We start from the raw sequence: 18,846 nt of genomic DNA, 5'->3' as shown, positions 1-18,846 counted from the left end.
CCAGCCTGGGCGATAGAGCAAGACTCTGTCTCAAAAAAAAAAAAAAAAAAAGTTTCTAATATTCACTGGCCTTATTTTAAGTGCCCAAAAACCACATGTGGCTAGTGGCTACCATATTCAGCAGTACCACCATACATGAATGTAAGGAAACAGGTTTTAATAAAAGCTTCCATTGGCCGAGCACGGTGGCTCTCAAATCCCATTACTTTGGGAGGCTGAGGTGGGAGGATCACTTGAGCCCAGGATTTGAGACCGGTCTGGGAAATATGATGAAACTTCCTCTCTACAAAAAAAGAAAATACAAAAATTAGCCAGGTGTGGTGGCACATGCCTGTAGTCCCAGCTACTTGGGAGGCTGAGGTGGTAGGATCGCTTAAGCCTGGGAGGTTGAGGCTGCAGTGAGCTGTGATCATGCCACTGCACTCCAGCCTGAGTGATAAAGTGAAAGTCTGTCTCAAAAAAAAATCAAAAAGCTTCCCTTTATTTCTCGGTGTCAGAAAGAACACGAGTTTATGAGTTTACAGTCATGGAAGAGATTCTGCAGTACAAATGGGGGTAATAATACCTTCCTTATGGTGTTGTTGTGAGGATTTAATAAAATAGTGTCTGCAAAGCATTTGACTCAGTATCTGGCCTTGATAAGTGCTCAAGTGACTTAAGTCGTTTAAGTCATGACTTATTAAGCTGTGGGTACTGTTACACTGCCACTGCTGTACCACATAGGAAACTACAAATCTACATGGCCAGTGCTCTCACGGTCCACCTGGGGAGAGACCCACGAACTTCACTGAGGGAGGATTGGAGAGGGGGACATGGTAGTTTTAAGCTCAAGGGCCAAACAAGGAAGTTTTCTCTTCAGTGCCCTGCATACCAGAGAAAGATCCCTTCCTTGGGAGAATGAAGAGTTTTGCTCCCTTCCAGCAGGTAATGAAGGAGGAGAGGACACTGTGCCCAGGCAGGAAAAAGCAGCAATAACTACAGACATTTTGCTTCCTCTGTGGCTCCCTGGTAGGTTCCCCTGAAAAAAAAATTTTTTTTTTTTTTTTGAGACGGAATCTCGCTCTATTGCGCAGACTGGAGTGCAGTGGCACGTTCTCTGCTCACTGCAACCTCCGCCTCCCGGGGTCAAGGGATTCTCCTGCCTCAGCCTCCCGAGTAGCTGGGATTACAAGAGTGTGCCACCATGCCTGGCTAATTTTTGTATTTTTAGTAAAGATGAGGTTTCACTATGCTGGCCAGGCTGGTCTTGAACTCCTGATCTTGTGATCTGCCCGCTTTGGCCTCCCAAAGTGCTGGGATTACAGGCATGAGCCACTGTGCCCAGCCTTGAAAGCAGGAATTTAATTAATTTAATGAGTGGGGCTGGCTTCTCAGAGCTGTGCAGGTCTGTCTGCAACAGGGCAGGGGCCACAGGAGTTGCCGACATGAACAGTGCTCCCTGTCACTCTGAAGGAAGAAGAGAGAAGAATCCCAGGCCTCTAGTGTGTCTTCTGGCCCAGGTGAGGCCTCTGGGCCTGTGGAGATGGCAAGTGACCCAGGGACGGGTGTGAGATGGGAGAAGGGGGTGGAGATTCTCCCAGACTCTCCTGTGCTTTCCACCTGGAGGAGCTGGGGCTTCTGGTGTGGCATAGAGCAGCCTTGCCATCCTCTGGGAGGAGCATTGAGGAGATCACTTGGACTGAGCCTTTCCCAGGTGGAGATGGGGATTTGCTGGAAAACAGAAGAGGGGACCTAGGGGCTAGCACACGTAGGTTTCTCCACCAAGGGCAGCTGCCAAAGCAGCTCTTCCTCCTGGGGGTGGAGGGGTGGAATCGGGCCCTGAGCCATGTGCAGGCCAGGTGACAGCCACCTGGGTTGGGCAGGAGAGGCCCAGGTGTCCAAGCTCCCAGGAGGTCCCCCAGCCTCCTCTGGCCCAGCTGGGAGTCCAGTTGGCCCTGGTACTAGGTTAGGGAGGTCTCTGGTGGTTGCACGTTATAAAAACATGTTTGAGTAGAAGGTGGAAAATAAGACAGGAGAGGATTATTTGAAGTAGGGGAGCCCCAGGGCAGGAGAGCTTCTAAGCCTCAGGAAGGTGCTGGACCAGGACCAGGAGGCTGTCTCCCAATCCCCCTCCTGGCCCCACCCTTCCCCCCATTCTCTCTCCCTGCTCTCCTCTCTTTCAGGCAGGTTGGAGGGTTGGGGGAGTGGCACAGGAGATGCCCTAGCACAGGTTAGGAATCTAGTCTTTCTCTTAGGGTCATGCCCAGCGGTGGTGGGGAGGTCATGATGTCCAGATGGCACTCTCCCCCTGTGACTGAGGAGGGCTGGTTAAGCAGTGGTCATTATCAGCTGCCTGGATGCTCCAAAGACACCTATTCCTAAAGGGAAGTCAGCCCCAAGCCAGGGAAGAGATGGGGCCAGTCCAAAGAAAAGGCTGATAGGAAGTGGGGAGATGCGATGGTTCAGGAAGAGGCTCGTGCATCTGGCCTCCTCGCTGTCACTCCTGCCACGGCTTTCCCAGGCATGGAGTCGTGGGGCTCTGGCCAGCTCTGGTGTGGGGGCTCATGCTGTGTCAGGTGACTTCCTTTCAGCTCAGCCTCATGAACCCCTGGAGCATGAACTCCGAACCACCATCCGGGCCTTGCTGTGAGTTTTGCAGCTTTCATGAAACTCTCCTCTTCCCTGGGATTGCAAGCCCCTGGGTGGAGGGGATGGGAGTGGGGTGGGGCTGACTTTGGCAGCTTAGATCCCTGAGTGCCCTAAACACTGTGACTCCCAGGATGGGACTGGGTGAGGAAAGTCTCCTCCACTGGCTGCAGATTTCCAGTGAGCACAAGAGGAAAACAATACCAGGAATGATTTGGATCTTTTTCTATCGTTCAAGCTCCTGTTTTTTTAGTCTGCGGTGAATCACTCCTCATGTCTCTGTAGATAGCCTCACATTCTGCTTTAGTTGTTTCCTGAGGAACAGTTGTGTCCTCCACTCCATTTTAACTTTCTTTACTGTAATTCCTTATATCTGTGTAGTGCTCTGACTTGAAGAACATACTCACCTTTTTGCATTGCACCTGGTCCCAGCAAATAAAAAAAAGTTCAGGAGTCTTACACAAATGCACGTCAGATAATGAGAGAAAGTAAAGAACCCTCCATGTACTCTCTTATAGCTCAGAGAGTGCGCGGCTTCCCCCAGCATAGCTGACATCCTGCTGGGCATGGCATGGACACCGGTCAACAGTTGGCCCAGGGGAAGGAGGAGGACAGGGTCCCTTTAACAGAGCCAGCCACCCTAGCATTTCACTGGTGCCTGAGACAGTGTCGGGAGCTGTGTTTCTGGCTGTATTTCTCTGTGTGGTCCCCCTTTGGAGATGAGCCCCGCCTCTTCCCCTGGGGCTGTCACTCAGCCAGAGCAGAATCAGTGTCAGCGCTGTCTGAGCAGGCTCCTTGCCTGTCACTAAGGCATGATTCACAGCTGAGTGATGCCCTCTGAAATCAGGGTGCAGAGCCCACGCCCATGGGCAGCCTCACCCGCTCTATTTTGGTGTTGGTTGTCACAGAATATGGGAGGAGCCATTCTCCTTGCCTCTGAGAGGCTCCTCCTACTTCCCCTTTACAACAGCCAGGCCAGCCCCTATTAAGAAGCCAGGGTAGAAGATTTATCTCTTAGCCCACCAGCTTCTACCTGCCAACTCCATGGGTGTAGCCTGAGAGATCAGAAGGAGGAGTAAATATAGGGGTAAAAACACATGTTTGATGGCAGACAGACCTGGATGTGAGTCTTGCTTTGCCTTTAACTAGCTGTGCTTCCTTGGGCAAGTTACTTAACCTCTCTGAACCTCGGTTTTCTCATATGTAAAATGGCAATGATGGTTTCTACCCCCCTAGTTATTCTGAGGATTAAATAGGCAGAAGGTAATTTGCAAAGTGCCTTACACACCTGGTAGGATCTCAGTAATGGCAACTTTAGCTTTATTAGAGGGAGCAGAGCATTTGTAGCCGCAGAAAGAAGTTTGGGGTTGGTGCTCTCTCTCTCAGGGAGGGAAACTTAGTGAAGGCTTCTGAGGATTGGGAGGAATTGCTCTGGAGACTAGAATGATGAAGCGTCTTTCTGCCATGTCTGTTCACTTTCCACATGCATCGCTCCTCTTTCAGGATGAAGTTTTATCTCTGTTTCTGCAGAAAGCTTATCCTAGGGTTTGTTTGAAAAATTGTTGCAGTTGGCCACAACCCTGCCATTTGATGTCAATAAATTCCACTTGTTTTCTCCCATGAGAAACTAAGCTATTTGGGCAAGGAAGGAAGAGATTTCAAGATTCACATTTATCGTCACTTTGTTGAGCAAGTATTTATTGCATATGCACTACATGCCAGACATCTTCATGGGTGCTGGGGATGATTCCCTGGCCCTACAGATTGCAGTCTGGTTGTACTAGAGGACTCTTATGGCCCCTTAAGAAGAACTGGGGAGTCTTCATTTGCCCCTGCTCTTGCACTGAAACCTTCAATGTCTACTTATTGCCAGAAGATACAAGGTCCTTAATGCCTAGATACCCTCAGCCTCCATCTACCTTGCCAGCCTTCCCTCCTCTGTGCTCTTAGAACACCCAGCTCTCCAAGACCCCTGTTCTTTCAGTTCCAAGGCAGCTTGTGCTTTTCTGCCTTGGCTCCTCCCTAGAATCCCAACTCCTATCAATCTTTGCCTGAGTTTCCCAGCTCTATCTTCCAGGACCAGCTCAAGGTGTCACCAGATCCCCAGGGATGCTTTTATAGTCACTGAGCACCATTGGGGTTATTCTGCCAGAGCCATGTAGACCACTCTATACCAGCAAGGTCTCATTTCACAGCCAGGCCACAAGCTTTGTGAGAACAGGACTGTGAACTGGGCTTCTTCAGCCCTCCTGATGTTATAGAGTGATGGATGCTGAAGAAATATTTACTTAGCTAGGCATGGTGGCACATCTGTAGTCCCAGCCACTCAGAAGCTGTGGCAGGAGGATCACTTGAACCCAGGAGTTCAAGGCTGCAGTAAGCTGTGATTACACCACGGCACTCCAGCCTCGGCAACAGAGCAAGACTCTAACAACAAAGAAAAGACATTTCATATATTTACTTAACTGGGACAAAGCTCCGAGTTAGATGTTCAAGTGGGGTAGTGGGGTCAAGCTCAAATGACCTCCCCCTTTCTGGAAGGTCATGAAATGACCTGCCAGGAGGCCTGCCCTCTTGTAAACATTCTAGGCCCTATTGTACTAGAGGATATTCCCCAAGTGCTTTCTACTATTTGAGAAGCCTTGGTGGGGATATTCTTGTCAAAGCTACTTTACGGCTGTTGCTTTTGTAGAACCTGCAGCCAGCTCTGGATATTTTTATGTGAAGCTATTATTTCACCACTTCTTGCCAACTTTTTCATTAATACATATATCGTCCTACACTGACCACAGTTGCAGTTCAGGGCCAGATTCTGAAGCTTGTCCTTAAAGGCATGAGCTTCAGTCATTGATTCAGTGGTGGTCCCATTGACCCCAGCTCCCCTCAAGGCTGCGCATTCACGAGGGTGCAAGTCATGACCACTTGCAAATTCATGTTGCGAGTGTCTTTCATTTTGTTTGTTTGTTTGAGACAGAGTTTCGCTCTTGTTGCCCAGGCTAGAGTGCAATGGCACGATCCCGGCTCACTGCAACCTCTGCCTCCCTGGTTCAAGCGAATCTCTTGCCTCAGCCTCCTGAGTAGCTGGGATTACAGCATGTGCCACCACGCCCGGCTAATTTTGTATTTTTAGTAGAAACAGGGTTTCTCCATTTTGGTCAGGCTGGTCTTGCATTCCCTACCTCAGGTGATCGGCCCGCCTTGGCCTCCCAAAGTGCTGGGATTACAGGCGTGAGCCACCGCGCCCGGCTGTGGTATGCCTTTATGCAGTGTGTGATAGTTTTCCTGTATTTACTAGACATCAGATTGTGACTGCTCCCATAGATTTGGCAGTTGAAATACCCACAACCTCAATGTGTCCTGCTTTGAAAAGTTGTATGTTTGTGTTCACTTATGAAAACCACACTTGTGAACTAATTAACTTGTTTTACGTTCTTAAGGAAGCTGAGGGGAGGGTGTTATGACCACATCAAAGGCCCAAACAGTACCTTTGGTTTTCCTCTGAAGGCAGAATCACCCCTGAAATGGATCAGGCTGTAATCCACTTTACTTTCTGCTTTTTAAATTCCTACTTTCAGTAATAGCCTTCCTGGTTTCTAGGAATGTAGAATGGAAATGAAGTCATAATTAAAGGTAGTAAGGAAGGGTTTTTTTTGTTTGTTTGTTTGTTTGTTTAATAGGAAACTGGTAGTTAACCCTTTAAAAAATGAACAGAGGCCAGGTACAGTGGCTCATACCTAGCACTTTTGGAGGCTGAGATGGGAGGATCACTTGAGGCCAGGAGCTTGAGACCAGCCTGGGCTACAAATGAGATCCCCCACCCTCTACAAAAAAATTAAAAATGTGCTGGGCATGATGGTGCAAGCCTCCCCTAGCTACTGGAGAGGCTAAGGTGGGAGGATCACTTGAGCCCAAAGGCTGCAGTGAGCTATGATTGTGCCATTGCACTCCAGCCTGGGTGACAGGGCAAGACCCTGTTTTTTTTTTTTTTTTTTTTTTTTTTAAGAAAAATTATAGATAAGTAAATTGAATGATTGCTACCTGGTGTTCCCTTTGGGTTTTCCCACAGTGGATCCATAAGCTGAGCAAGGACCTTGCCCACCAGGTGTAGCTATTCTTTCTCCCTGTGCTTGTGTAATACACAGCATATACATGCCTTCTTCCTCGAGTTAAGACATAAATGCCCAACAGATATGTGTCTTTCTCCTTTATGCCTCTGAACCGATTTCCTCATGTACAAAATGGTGCCGATAATTACTTTTCTCATAGAGTTGTTTAAATGTTTTCTCATAGGAGGTTTAAATGAAATGGTACATGTGAAGTGCTTAGCAGAGTATCTGATTTGTAGTCAATGCACAATCTGTATCAGCTATTGCTATAATTGGTGGTGTCATTGGTTTGCTAAGATTTCTTGGCCTGCATTTTGGCCCTGGCTGGGCCTTGACTCCTCAATACATGTACAGATGCTCCTTGACTTAAGATGGGGTTATGTCCAGATAAGCCCATTGTAAATTGAAAATATAAATCAAAATGCACTTAATACACCTAACCTACTGAACGTCATAGCTTAGCCTAGCTTACCTTAAACATGCTCAGAACACTTACATTAGCCTACAATTGGACAAGATCATCTAACCCAAAACCTATGTTATAATAAAGTGTTGAATATCTCATGTAACTTATTGATTACTGAAAGTGAAACACAGAATGGTGGTGTGGGTACTTGAAGTACTGCTGCTACTGAATGTGTATGGCTTTCCCACCACTGTAAAGTCAAACATCATAAGTCAGGGACCAGCTGTCTCCAGCATTCCTCCTTCGCAGCTTTGGGAGGGGGTGGTGCTGGCATGAGAACTAAGCTGAGGAACCTGTAGCGGTGGCTCCACCAGCCAACAGGCCAAGACAGCTGCACACCAGAGGCCTTGGCCCAGCTTAAGAAATGGAACTTCTGGGGGCCAGGTGCAGTGGCTCACGTCTGTAATCCCAGCACTTTGGGAGGCTGAGGTGGGCGGATCACCTGAGGTTGGGAGTTCAAGACCAGCCTGACCAACATGGAGAAACCCCGTCTCTACTAAAAATACAAAATTAGCCGGGCATGTTGGTGCATGCCTGTAATCCCAGCTACTTGGGAGGCTGAGGCAGGAGAATTGCTTGAACCCGGAAGACAGAGGTTGCGGTGAGCCGAGATCATGCCATTGTACTCCAGCCTGGGTGATAAGAGTTAAACTCTGTCTCAAAAAAAAAAAAAAAAAGAAAAAAGAAAAAAAGAAAAGAAATGGAACTTCTGGCAAAAAGTGATTTGTTGAGCATTCTGAGGCTCAATACAAAGAAACTCATTTGTGTAGGTATGAACTTTGGAAAAAACCACCTAAAGAAGTATGTGAGGTTTTCTGTTGTGGTAGGGTTCAAAGCAAGTTGAAATGGCGAAGAGTACAGATATCAAGAAAAAGGTCCAGGGAGACAAGATTTGTCTTTTTTTTTTTTTTTTTTTTTTTTTTGAGATGGAGTTTCACTCTTATTGCCCAGGCTGGAGTGCAATGGTGCGATCTCGGCTCACTGCAACCTCCACCTCCTGGGTTCAAGCGATTCTCCTGCCTAAGCCTCCCAAGTAGCTGGGATTACAGGCATGCACCATTACGCCCAGCTAATTTTGTATTTTTAGTAAAGACAGAGTTTCTCCATGTTGGTCAGGCTGGTCTCGAACTCCCAACCTCAGATGATCCACCTGCCTCGGCCTCCCAAAGTGCTGGGATTACAGGCGTGAGCCACCACACCCAGCCCAAGATTTGTCATTTTAAAACCAAACAAAAAAGCCCTTGTATCGAAGTTTGGATAAGAACCTATCCAACCTTGGCCAATTTTGTTGAACTCTGTGGGTTTAGGAAACCCACAGAATTGCCTGAGGGGATTTTGTTGTTACTTTTTTGTTCAGCAGAAGAGTCTCCCTTTGAATAGAATTGTCTTTTAGGAAGAGAGAAAAGGAATGAGAGGTGTGTCTCCTGGCTGATCCAGCAGGCCCCACGCCCCTCATATCCTTATAGGGGCTTGTGCCAGGCATTGGCCTGAACGTTTTAGAAGCTGGCAGCAAAGCCAGTCCCTGAGTGACAGATATTTGTGGCCCCAGGATGAGGAGGGCCTCTCTCCCCTGCTGGGGCCCATGTGTTTCCGTGGCTGCAGCTTCAAGGCCTGGGTTTATTACTCAGTTTACCATTTAGTCTAGAACAGCACAGTGGCTCCTGATACTTTGGGGACAGCTTTGGATTGGAGCTGGTGAGATGGGCTTTTCACCTCTACTGGTGCTCAGTGTGGAAGCAGCAGCCCACCAAAGAGCTTCCATTTCCCTTCATTGTGAAACACCATGCTTTGGAAGGGACCCCAGGGTACATCAGAGTGTATGAGCCCCAGAAGCAGGCTGTGCCGTGGTCTGGAAGGTGGCAGCCCCGTGAGCCACCCAGACACCAGCTCCTGCTCATCTCATGCCTTCCCTCACCTCATCTGGATCAGAGGAGAAAAGCAAATCCACAAAAATCAACACAACTAGAGATCAATTGCTATGCCAGACCCAGTTAGTCTGGTGAGTGCCGCAGGTGTCTCCACACCTCAGATAATTGAGAATTAGGCCTCAGGACTTGCACAGCCAAGCACTGCCTGAGACTGGTCTGCAGTCGGCTTCCATAGAAAGATGCCGGAAGTGGATACCTGGTCCTGGGTGGTTTGCTGTAGGGGGTGATTTCCTCCATGAGGAAAACCAAAGAATCCAAAGCCCTCTGCCTGCAAGGAAAGTTCAGTGGGGAGGAGGCTGTGCTGGTCCTCAGCTCTCGCCAGGGTGGCAGTGTGGTGGGGTAGGCATATCACAGCAGCCTGGAGAGGAAACGGTGCTGAACCTGAGCCCTTCTGACCTTGGAAGTTTTGGTTTTAATGTATGTGAGACAGAGATGAGGCATGTGTCAGTCAGAGGCTGTTATCAGCCATTATAATAATAGTAGCCAGCATTTATGGAGGACTTGTGTTCCAGATCCTAAGGCAAGTGCTTTATGGAGATTTATTCATTTAGTGTTTAAAACAATCTTTTTCTTTTTTTGAAAATTTTTTGAGACAGGTTCTCACTCTGTCATCCAGACTGGAGTGCACTGGCGTGATCTCTGCTTAATCCAGCCTTGACTTCCCGGGCTCAGGCGATCCATCCACTTCAGCCTCCAGAGTAGCTGGAACCACAGGCACACACTACCAAGCCTGGCTAATTTTTGTATTTTTGGTAGAGACGTGGTTTTGCCATGTAACCCAAGCTGGTCTCGAACTCCTGGGCTCAAGTGATCCACCCTCCTCGGTCTCCCAAAGTGCTGGGATTACAACAATCTTATAAGGGACCCTAGAATCGCAGTTTGATAGATGAGGACATTGAGGCCTAAAGCAGTTAAGCAAAGTGCCCAAAGTCAAACAGCGAGTACATTGGGGGTTGGGAGAGTGAATATTTAGAACAATCCAGGCCAACAACTCTAAGCCCAGCTCTTATTCACCATGGGGAAGAGTAAATGAAATTAAATGAAATGATCTTCATAAAAGGCTTAATGCAGGCAGCAAGTAAGTGCTCGTTCAGTTACAATGAGATATCCCTGTTTTTCTGCGTATTTTATTGTCCTGCATTTTGTGCTAGGGGCCCTGATGTGGATTATTCTAGTCACATGCTAAAAATGTGCAGGGTTTTCAGTCTCTTTGTATTGTGGTGAAACTGCTGCTGATCTGCTTTTCCCACTATCGGTCAGCCTGGGCCTGCTTCCATTTTCACTTTGAGTTTTCAAAGGTCAGGGGAGTCCTGATAGATTGCCTTCTTATCTCCTAAGTGTTTTAGAGTGGTTTATTCATTTAACAACTGAAAGTGATTTTTTTTTTTTTAAAGAAACAATTACCTCCCTTGGTCAGCAGCAACATCTCCAGAGGTCAGCATCCCCCTCCTGGGGAAGGTTTGGCCTGCTGAGTCCAGGCTGGCTGCTAAGGGAACCAAGTCTCTTTTCTATCTCCAGGGCTAGCACAGGGCCTAGCTTGGGACAGGCACTGAAGGAAACAGTGGTTTGTGAATTTCAGCGGGGGGCTGTTTTGCAGTTCTGGACTTCAGAGACAAAGCTTCAAATTCCTATCCTTTCTCCAGACAGGTCCCCTGCTCTTCTAGAGTACTGAGGGATCTTGGCCACAGTCAGGTGGGGCTTTCCCAGACAACTTTTTTATAAGCCTGTGGAATGCCCTCTGCTGAGTCACCACGCTGATACCCAGGGCTGGGGTGTGTCTGCGAAGAACCGTGCTCTAGACATTCAGGGCTTGGTCCTGGGTCTGGGTGGGTGGCTGACCTTAGGTCTAACCATAGGCTTCAAGCTTTTATCTTTCACTGAGTCTGTGCCAAGCACATTCCGTAAATGATCTCATTGACTCTTCAAGAAAGTTAAGAGAATCAATATTGTTGTTCCCATTTTCACAGATAGATAATAAATCTGTAAAATCGCGTAAGACTAGGACATATTTTCTAGGATTATCCTTGCGGATCAAAGGTGATATCAAGTGGGATGTCAGGAGCAAGGGTGCTTGCAGTGTCAGTGATTTCTGTTGTTGGAGGAGGGGCAGGGTTATGGATGAGGAATGTGGGGTTTAGTAGGGTTAAGAGATTTGCCAGAGGCTGGGCGTGGTGGCTCACGCCTGTAATCCCAGCTACTCAAGAGGCTGAGGCAGGAGAATCACTTGAACCCAGGAGGCGGAGTTCAAGTGAGCTAAGATCATGCCACTGCACTCCAGGCTGGGCGACAGAGCGAGACTCCATCTAAAATATATATATATATTTGCCAGAGGTCAACAGGCTAGTCTCTAGTCCTTGTGCAGAAGCAAGATTTGAAATGGGTTGCTTGTTCTCACACGTCTCTTTGCTGGTCAGTGTAGAGATAAAGAACCCTCTCCCCACCTACAGTGTTCTTAAGAAGCCATGGTTATCTTGGGTGTGATGATCTTTGGAAGGTAGAAAGTTCCACTGGCAGGCATTTCCTCCTGGAGTCCTCAGCCTCCTTATCAGGCTCCCAGATTCGGACTGTCAGTGAGGTGGGCAGGGCTGTGGAGGGGAGAGGTCCTGTCACAAGAGACACCCAGCTTCCTCCCAGCTTTGGTTTACCTCAGGCCCGGCCTGAGGTGAAGTCCTCATTAGGTTACCTCCCGCCTAGCTGTGACTGGGTTAAGTTGTTGGACTTCTCTAAGGTTCAGCTCCCTGTTCTGGAAAATGAAGACAAGGACTGTGCCTGTCCTGTAGACTTTGAGGATTAGCTGAGGCAATGCCCGCATGAGCCACTTAGCTTGATGCCACATAAGTGCCCAGGAGACATCATCCTGTGGTGATTAGTTAGATCTGTCATACACCCTTACACCAGGAAGACCCCACCTGGTCATTCTTTTCCCCACAATCCTCTTCTCCCCTAGGATACCAATGCCTCTTCTTCCCTCAGAGTTAATGCAGTTACAACTATTCTAGAACTTTCTGACAGCATTCCTACTCCTTCAGCCACCCCCCTCCATCGCCGGGCAAAAATGCCATGGTCCAGCAGCCACTCAGCTCAGTGGGGTGGTACATACAGGGGCGCGTGACAAGGATGAGGTAAGTGCTGGATCACCAACCTCCCTGCCCCTCCTGTGGCTGCGTGTCAGATACTGTGTGCCAAGCTCCCTTCAGCCACTATCTCATGTAAAGCTCAGACCCCACGATTTCCGGAGTCCTAGAGTAGTCTGGGTGTCCTCGTGGTGGGAACTGGCTGTCCTCCTGGCCCCTTGCTCCCACCCTCCTGCCTTCTTGGTTCAGTGATAAGGCCTTAGATCAGGAGGGTGTGGCTAGGTCTGACTCAGGGGTGACCCAGAGGCACTTCACAGATCTGCGGCAGAAGGCCTCATCACAAGCATGACCGAATCTTGACTTTATTTATAAAAGGCAAAAGCCCACTCTTCTGTGCAGTTGTTGTGGGCCCCAGAAGTGAGGGGAACTCCATAGCACAGTTGAGGTGGGCAGTGGCCATGGAGAGAGATTTCCAACGCAGGGCCCGAGCCATCTCCTCGCAGCTTCTGCATTTTGCTTCTTTCATTTGTTGAAGCAAACAAGGGGCCAGGAGGCTCAATCAATGTGTGGAACTTTCACAGACCCTTCAGAAGAGTCCAGCTGTTCCCAGCAGCTCTTGGGGACTGTGGCCTGTTTCTGACTTAAACTCAGCCTTAGATTCTAAATTCTTGATATGGTTCAGTGATGATGAAGGGGGGAAACATTTACATGTTAGAATGAAAAGGTAACCAATTTTACATTCTATCTAAAGGTGAATACAAGATGGGGATTATCTTGTTAACTTCTGAAGAAAATTGAGATGGGGGTCTCGCCATCTTGCCCAGGCTGGTCTTGATTTCCTGGGCTCAAGCGATCCTCCTGCCTTGGCTTCCCAAAGCGCTGTGATTACAGGCTTGAGCCATCATGGCCAGCTAGTCTTTTAATAATAACAATAAATTATCAGCATTGGAGCTCTGGATGTGGGAAATGCAAAACAGTCCTGCTGGGTCATCATCTCAAACCTGGACTCTTGGGAGAGATACCCTGTGGATCATTACATCTTTTCAATTCCTTCCACTCCTGTTTCCTCACCCCATTTGTGGTACTCAGGCAACAGAGATGTCCTCTGGCTGGAAATCCAGAGGATGAGGTGGGCACCCTTGGACTGTCCCTGGTTAAATGTCACCTCCTCTCCCCACCCCCTTTCCTGGCTCTCTCAACGCACATGGGGATGTTTAATGACATTCTCCTTTTCCCCTCGTTTAGGCCTTGGGAGCAGTGATATTAACTCACTCAGTCCACACAACTTTCCATGGAGATTACTGTAATCTGTTATTCCCGCTGTACAGATGAGGAAACTGAGTCAAAATAAATTATTTGCCCAAAGCCACACAGGAACTGCTAGAGCTGAGACTGGAACTCAAACCATCAGGCTCTCAAATCCTCCTTTTAGCCACCATGCCCTAATGCAACTCGAAACAGAAAAAGGACAGCTTGACTAAAAAGTCTCCCATTTCCTTTCCCCCTTGCCCTAAAAACCCTGTGAACTCAGCCTCTGAAGAGTTCAGCCCTTCTCTCAGGTGTGAGAAGTAATTTGGCAAAAGAGAAAAAAAATTAAAAAGAAGAAAAATAACCTAAAAAGGGGGGAAGGCCAGGTACGGTGGCTCACACCTGTAATCCCAGCACTTTGGGAGGCCAAGGCGGGCGGATCATCTGAGGTCAGGAGTTCGAGACCAGCCTGGCCAACATGGTGAAACCCCCCTCTCCACTAAAAACTTAAAAAATTAGCTGGGTGTGGTGGCGGATGCCTGTAATCTCATCTATTCAGGAGGCTGAAGCAGGAGAATCACTTGAACCTGGGAGGTGGAGGTTGCAGTGAGCCGAGATCACACCACTGCACTTCAGCCTGGGTGACAGAGTGAGACCCCATCTCAAAAAAAGGCGGGGAGGAGAATGAAGATTTCGGCCCAAGTGCTCAGGAGCAGGGGCCTCTTGATAGAACTGGGCACTGGAGGTGAGCAACCCAGATGTCAATTATTAGGAGATCTTCTCTGCTTCTGGCTTTCCCAGTGCTGACAGGTGGGATCCTTGTCAGGCAGCAGGGCAGCACTGAAGGAAGCAAAGCCGTTTCTTGGGGGCCCCACTCAGTGAGTGAAGCCATAGCTTGTGCAGTGGCCAGGTGGATCGCTCGAGACTCCCTGGAATTGCAGCCTCCAGCTTTGAGCTGCTCCTGCTGGCCGCTTGGCTTCACAGTCACCACCAGCCGATGGAGACGGTTCATCAAATGGAAAAGTTTCGGTGACTGTGGGAAGGAGGGCATTCTTTGCGAGCTCTCTTGGCTTTACACTTTAAAGAGGGCAGTGGGGGGAATGCACACACAACCTTTTTCTTCTCATCTGTTCTCAGAAACCCAGGGGAAAAAAATGGGCTATAATGAGTAGCAGTTGTGGTTATGATGATTTTCATATGAATTGTCAAATCTTCTGTGTCCATTAACTATCTTTTGTGGTGAGGAAATTGATTATGGAACTGAAATAAGAAACTCCACCTGACTATTAAGTGATAATTCAGTCCCCAGCCTCTTGGCTCTTTATCCAGTATTTAGGGGGGAAATGCCTCTGTGGAAACAGATGCCTTGCTTTTTTGGGAAGACAGTCCATTTGAATGAACTAGAATGTCTTCCTGCCAGGAGTGGGTCTCCAGTGGATCCTTGTCAAGAGGTGGGGGAGGGGCAGAGTGACAGCTGCAGTTGGCCCCCCAAATGTCAGTGTTCCCTGTAGATTCTTGTCAAAGGGCTTACCTCGTACTGTGGTACAAGTCAGGGCTACACAGAAAGGCCTGTCTTGCAGTCTGTTTGCATAGCTGTGTCTTGCTTGCAGAAAGCCCCGGGTGGGGGTAGAAAAAAGGCAGAGACAGGCCGGGTGGTGGCTCAGACCTGTAATCCCAGAACTTTGGGAGGCTGAGATGGGAAGATCACTTGAGCTCAGGAGTTCGAGACCAGTCTGGGCAACATAGTGAGACCTCACCTCTACTAAAAATACAAAAATAGCTGGGGCTTGGGGGCGCATGTCTGCAGTCTCAGCTACTCAGGAGGCTGAGGTAGGAGGATTGCTTGAGCCCAGGAGTTTGAGGTAAACCGTGATCATAATACCACTGCACTCCAGCATGGGGCACCCTGTCTCCAAAAAAAAATAAATTTAAAAAAAGACAGCAGCATCAATGAAGCCTTGGTTGGCTCAGCCTCAGGGTAGACTGCATTATCCATCCCTGACAAGCTCAGAGGTGGGCGCACAAACCCAGGCGCTACGTAAAGGCCAAGACAGTGAATCATCCACTCAGAGCCCACTTCACCTCCCACCCCTGGTCCTTATCAGGTGTTGTCGTCCCACAGATACTTACTGGGTACCTCCTGGGTCCCAGACAGTCCTGGCTTTCATGGAGCTTCTAATCCAGCAGGGAAAACAGATGTCAGAGATTACAAAAAGAATGTGGGCTGGGCGTGGTGGCTCATGCCTGTAATCCCAGCACTCTGGGAGGCCGAAGCAGGCAGATTATTAGGTTAGGAGATCAAGACCATCCTGGCTAACATGGTGAAACCCCGTCTCTACTAAAAATACAAAAATTCAGCCAGGTGTGGTGGCACGCGCCTGTAGTCCCAGCTACTCAGGAGGCGGAAGCAGGAGAATGGCATGAACCCGGGAGGCCAAGGTTGCAGTGAGCCGAGATTGCATCATTGCACTCCAGCCTCGGCGACAGAGTGAGACTCCGACTCAAAAGAAAAAAAAAGAATGATGATTAATGGGATCAAACACAAGGAAAGAATAGTCTTGGGAAAGAGCGAGGCTTGAATCCCAGCTCAGGCTGTGAGCTCAGGCCAGTCACTCTGCTTCCATGTCTTAGTTTCATCATTTATAAAGTGGCTGTTGCAAGACTTAATGGCTCATATATGTTGAGTACTTGGCACGTGGTAGGTACCGGATTGGTATTTGTTCAAATGCACATGAATAAGTCATGGCACATCTCCATTCAACAAATATTTATTGAGTACCTACTGTATCCCAGGTACTGTGCTAGATACTAAGAATATAGCAATGAATAAAACAGACAAAAGCCCTGCCCTCATGGAGATTACATAGTATTTGGGAAGACAGGCAATAAAATAATAGAATGAATCATATATTTGATGGTTAGTTTTATGGAGAAGTTATTGCAGAGAATCTGACTAGGGAGAGCTGGAAGTGGGCAAATACAGGTCAGAGATTTGGGAAAAGCCCTGAAGGTCGTGAGGGACCTAGCCATGCAGATGCCAGGGGAAAGGAATACTTCAGGAAAAGGAACAGTAAGTTCAAAGGCCCTGTGGCTAGCATGTTTGAGAACAGCAAGGAGGCAGCTAGTGTGGGTAGCCAGAGAGGCTGGGAGTATGGGAGATAATATAGGGCTTTGAAGCTAATTTAAATATTTTTTAAAATTTATTTAATTTTGTGGGTATATAGCAGGTATATATATTTATGAGGTACATGAGATATTTTGATACATGCATACAATGAATAATCACACATCAGGGCAAATGGGGTATCAATTTAAAGACTTAGTGAGAGTGTGGTCCAGGGTGGTGGTGGGTGGCATAGCGTTTTTTGTTTGTTTTTGAGTGGAGTTTCACTCTTGTTGCCCAGGCTGGAGTGCAATGGTGCGATCTCGGCCCACTGCAACTTCCACTTCCCACCTCCCAGGTTCAAGCGATTCTCCTGCCTCAGCCTCCCAAGTAGCTGGGATTATAGGCGCCCACCACTATGCCCAGCTAATTTTTGTATTTTTAGTAGAGATGGGGTTTCACCATGTCAGGCTGGTCTCAAACTCCAGACCTCAGGTGATCTGCCCACCTTGGCCTCCCAAAGTGCTGGGATTACAGAAGTGAGCCTGGCCTTTAGTGGGTTCTTACTGAAGCCAGCCTGAACTGGGAAATGTCCAGATTTATACAAATAATGATTCAGAAAATGAGACTACCCTTTAAGAAGACCATATTCTGATCATAATCATAAATCTGGCAAATTCATTTATGGAGATAACAGGAAAACAATTTGAAATCAGAATATCCAGGAAAGGCCAGGCGCAGTGGCTCACGCCTGAAATCCGAGCACTTTGGGAGGCTGAGGCAGGAGAATCACTTGAACCTGGGAGGTGGAGGTTGCAGTGAGCTGAGATGGCGCCACTGCCCAGCCTGGGCAATAGAGCGAGACTCGGTCTAAAAAAAAAAAAAAAAAAAAAAAGAATATCCAGGAAAATCACGAGGACACAGCCGTGGTAATCAGTATGAAAGCATGAAAGCCCCCAGTATGGAATGTTTACTGTGTATCTATTGCATATTTAATCTTCATAACAACCTGATAGAGGTGGGTACTGTGGGCTCCATTTTACAGATGAGAAAACCTCAACACACACAGAGGGGTTCGGTAACTTGTCCAAGATGATCCAGAGGTACATATTCTGTCCCCAAAGCCCCTACTCTTGGCCACGACTCCATAAAATACTTCTAAACAGCTTGCTTCCCTTGTACAGTTTAAATGATTTTGTCTTTTTGCATACATTCAACTTTCTCATAAACTTGAGGTTCACCAAGGAGAGAATTATTTCCCCCACAGATAATAGCTGCCAAAATAGAGTCCGAATCCCTGAGGGTTCCCAGATGGCTGGGCACACCCAAGCTGCAGAGGCTGTCTGGAATGATTAGGGCAGAGGAAGGTGCTAATCTATCTAGGAGCGAGCAGCTTTGCGGCTGATGCGATTTCGTTTATCTACCCTCCTCGGTTCTTTGTCTCTTTATCCTCCTGTCTCCCTCCTGGCCTGGCTAACAGGCCTGATGTATCGGCATCTCAATCACTTCTGCTTCCCCAGGAGATCAAGGCCTGGCCTTGGGCCCTGAGGCCTCCCGGAGTAAATCAGTGGATTGAGGGGAGGGGGTGCCGGGGAGGCATCAAAAGAGAATGGGGTCCTCTGGCTTCAAGCTACCTAAAATCTGCTGCTTAAAATGCTGCTGTTAGGGAAAACTGGCGGCACAGAGTCCTTCTCCAGCCCTAGAAATAACCTCTCTGAAACCTGTCGAGTGACCCACCCCAAATTAGAAAGAATTTTTTGTCTTAAAAGGCACATTAAAGAGAGTCCTGTGTTTTCTGCCCTGTGCCTTCTGGAGGTAGAAGACAAGTGTGAATTCTCTACCCTTCTACAACAAGAGCAAAGGAAGAAGAAAATTTCCATATTTTCTCAGCTATTTCAAAACACATTTTTTTACCTTTCATATGAAGTGACTGTTCCAAATGACCTCTTCTTTCCAGGGAAAAAACTCTATTTTAATACTTTTTCTCCCCTCCTCTTTCTCCAGCCCTGTCTCTTTTTTCTATTTTTAATCTCCCTCTGCCAACAAGAATATCCACGGACTTCCCACCTGGCCTTTACCCTTCTCTTCCTTGCAGGGGTGTACCCACCAGCCTGCACCCGATGTCCACGATGTCTGTCCACCCCAGAACCCAGCAGCATCTCTCCCCGTCTGGCGCTCAGCCTGCTTCTGAGTGTGGGCAGCAGGGAAGCTAGGCGCTGTGCTTGCCCAGACCACACAGCTGTCTCTGTTTAGGGCTTTGCTGCCTGAAAGTTTGTTTCAAGGAGGAACAGGCTCT

The 18,846-nt window shown here is 48.1% G+C and overlaps 1 protein-coding gene across 1 annotated transcript in view, besides 6 other annotated features; it reads left to right on the top strand.

The window, feature by feature from the left end:
• ABTB2 (ankyrin repeat and BTB domain containing 2) overlaps positions 1-18,846 on the top strand; it is a 207,024-nt gene that overhangs the window by 103,289 nt on the left and 84,889 nt on the right. The window lies entirely within an intron of this gene.
• Positions 3,246-3,540: a silencer, noted in NCBI's record as "tiled region #14004; K562 Repressive non-DNase unmatched - State 4:PromP". NCBI's record gives its function as "represses a minimal TATA promoter and a strong SV40 promoter by Sharpr-MPRA in K562 cells {active_cell/tissue: K562}" and the evidence as "EXISTENCE:reporter gene assay evidence [ECO:0000049][PMID:27701403]".
• Positions 10,495-10,654: an enhancer, noted in NCBI's record as "active region_4600". NCBI's record gives its function as "activates an Ori minimal core promoter by ATAC-STARR-seq in GM12878 lymphoblastoid cells {active_cell/tissue: GM12878}" and the evidence as "EXISTENCE:reporter gene assay evidence [ECO:0000049][PMID:35858748]".
• Positions 10,649-11,320: an enhancer, noted in NCBI's record as "H3K27ac hESC enhancer chr11:34264949-34265620 (GRCh37/hg19 assembly coordinates)". NCBI's record gives its function as "activates a minimal SCP1, AML or CMV promoter by ChIP-STARR-seq in naive H9 embryonic stem cells {active_cell/tissue: H9 hESC(naive)}" and the evidence as "EXISTENCE:reporter gene assay evidence [ECO:0000049][PMID:30033119]".
• Positions 11,513-12,712: an enhancer, noted in NCBI's record as "MED14-independent group 3 enhancer chr11:34263557-34264756 (GRCh37/hg19 assembly coordinates)". NCBI's record gives its function as "activates an origin of replication core promoter dependent on BRD2, BRD4, P300/CBP and CDK7 cofactors, and independent of MED14, by STARR-seq in HCT116 cells {active_cell/tissue: HCT116}" and the evidence as "EXISTENCE:reporter gene assay evidence [ECO:0000049][PMID:35650434]".
• Positions 13,877-14,376: an enhancer, noted in NCBI's record as "H3K4me1 hESC enhancer chr11:34261893-34262392 (GRCh37/hg19 assembly coordinates)". NCBI's record gives its function as "activates a minimal SCP1, AML or CMV promoter by ChIP-STARR-seq in naive H9 embryonic stem cells {active_cell/tissue: H9 hESC(naive)}" and the evidence as "EXISTENCE:reporter gene assay evidence [ECO:0000049][PMID:30033119]".
• Positions 15,101-15,600: an enhancer, noted in NCBI's record as "H3K27ac hESC enhancer chr11:34260669-34261168 (GRCh37/hg19 assembly coordinates)". NCBI's record gives its function as "activates a minimal SCP1, AML or CMV promoter by ChIP-STARR-seq in primed H9 embryonic stem cells {active_cell/tissue: H9 hESC(primed)}" and the evidence as "EXISTENCE:reporter gene assay evidence [ECO:0000049][PMID:30033119]".

The sequence above is a fragment of the Homo sapiens genome, chromosome 11 (genome assembly GCF_000001405.40).
Source record: "Homo sapiens chromosome 11, GRCh38.p14 Primary Assembly".
Classification (NCBI taxonomy): Eukaryota; Metazoa; Chordata; class Mammalia; order Primates; family Hominidae; genus Homo; species Homo sapiens.
The sequence above is the reverse complement of the archived record's forward strand: the minus strand, read 5'-3'. Positions and strand labels throughout refer to the sequence as shown.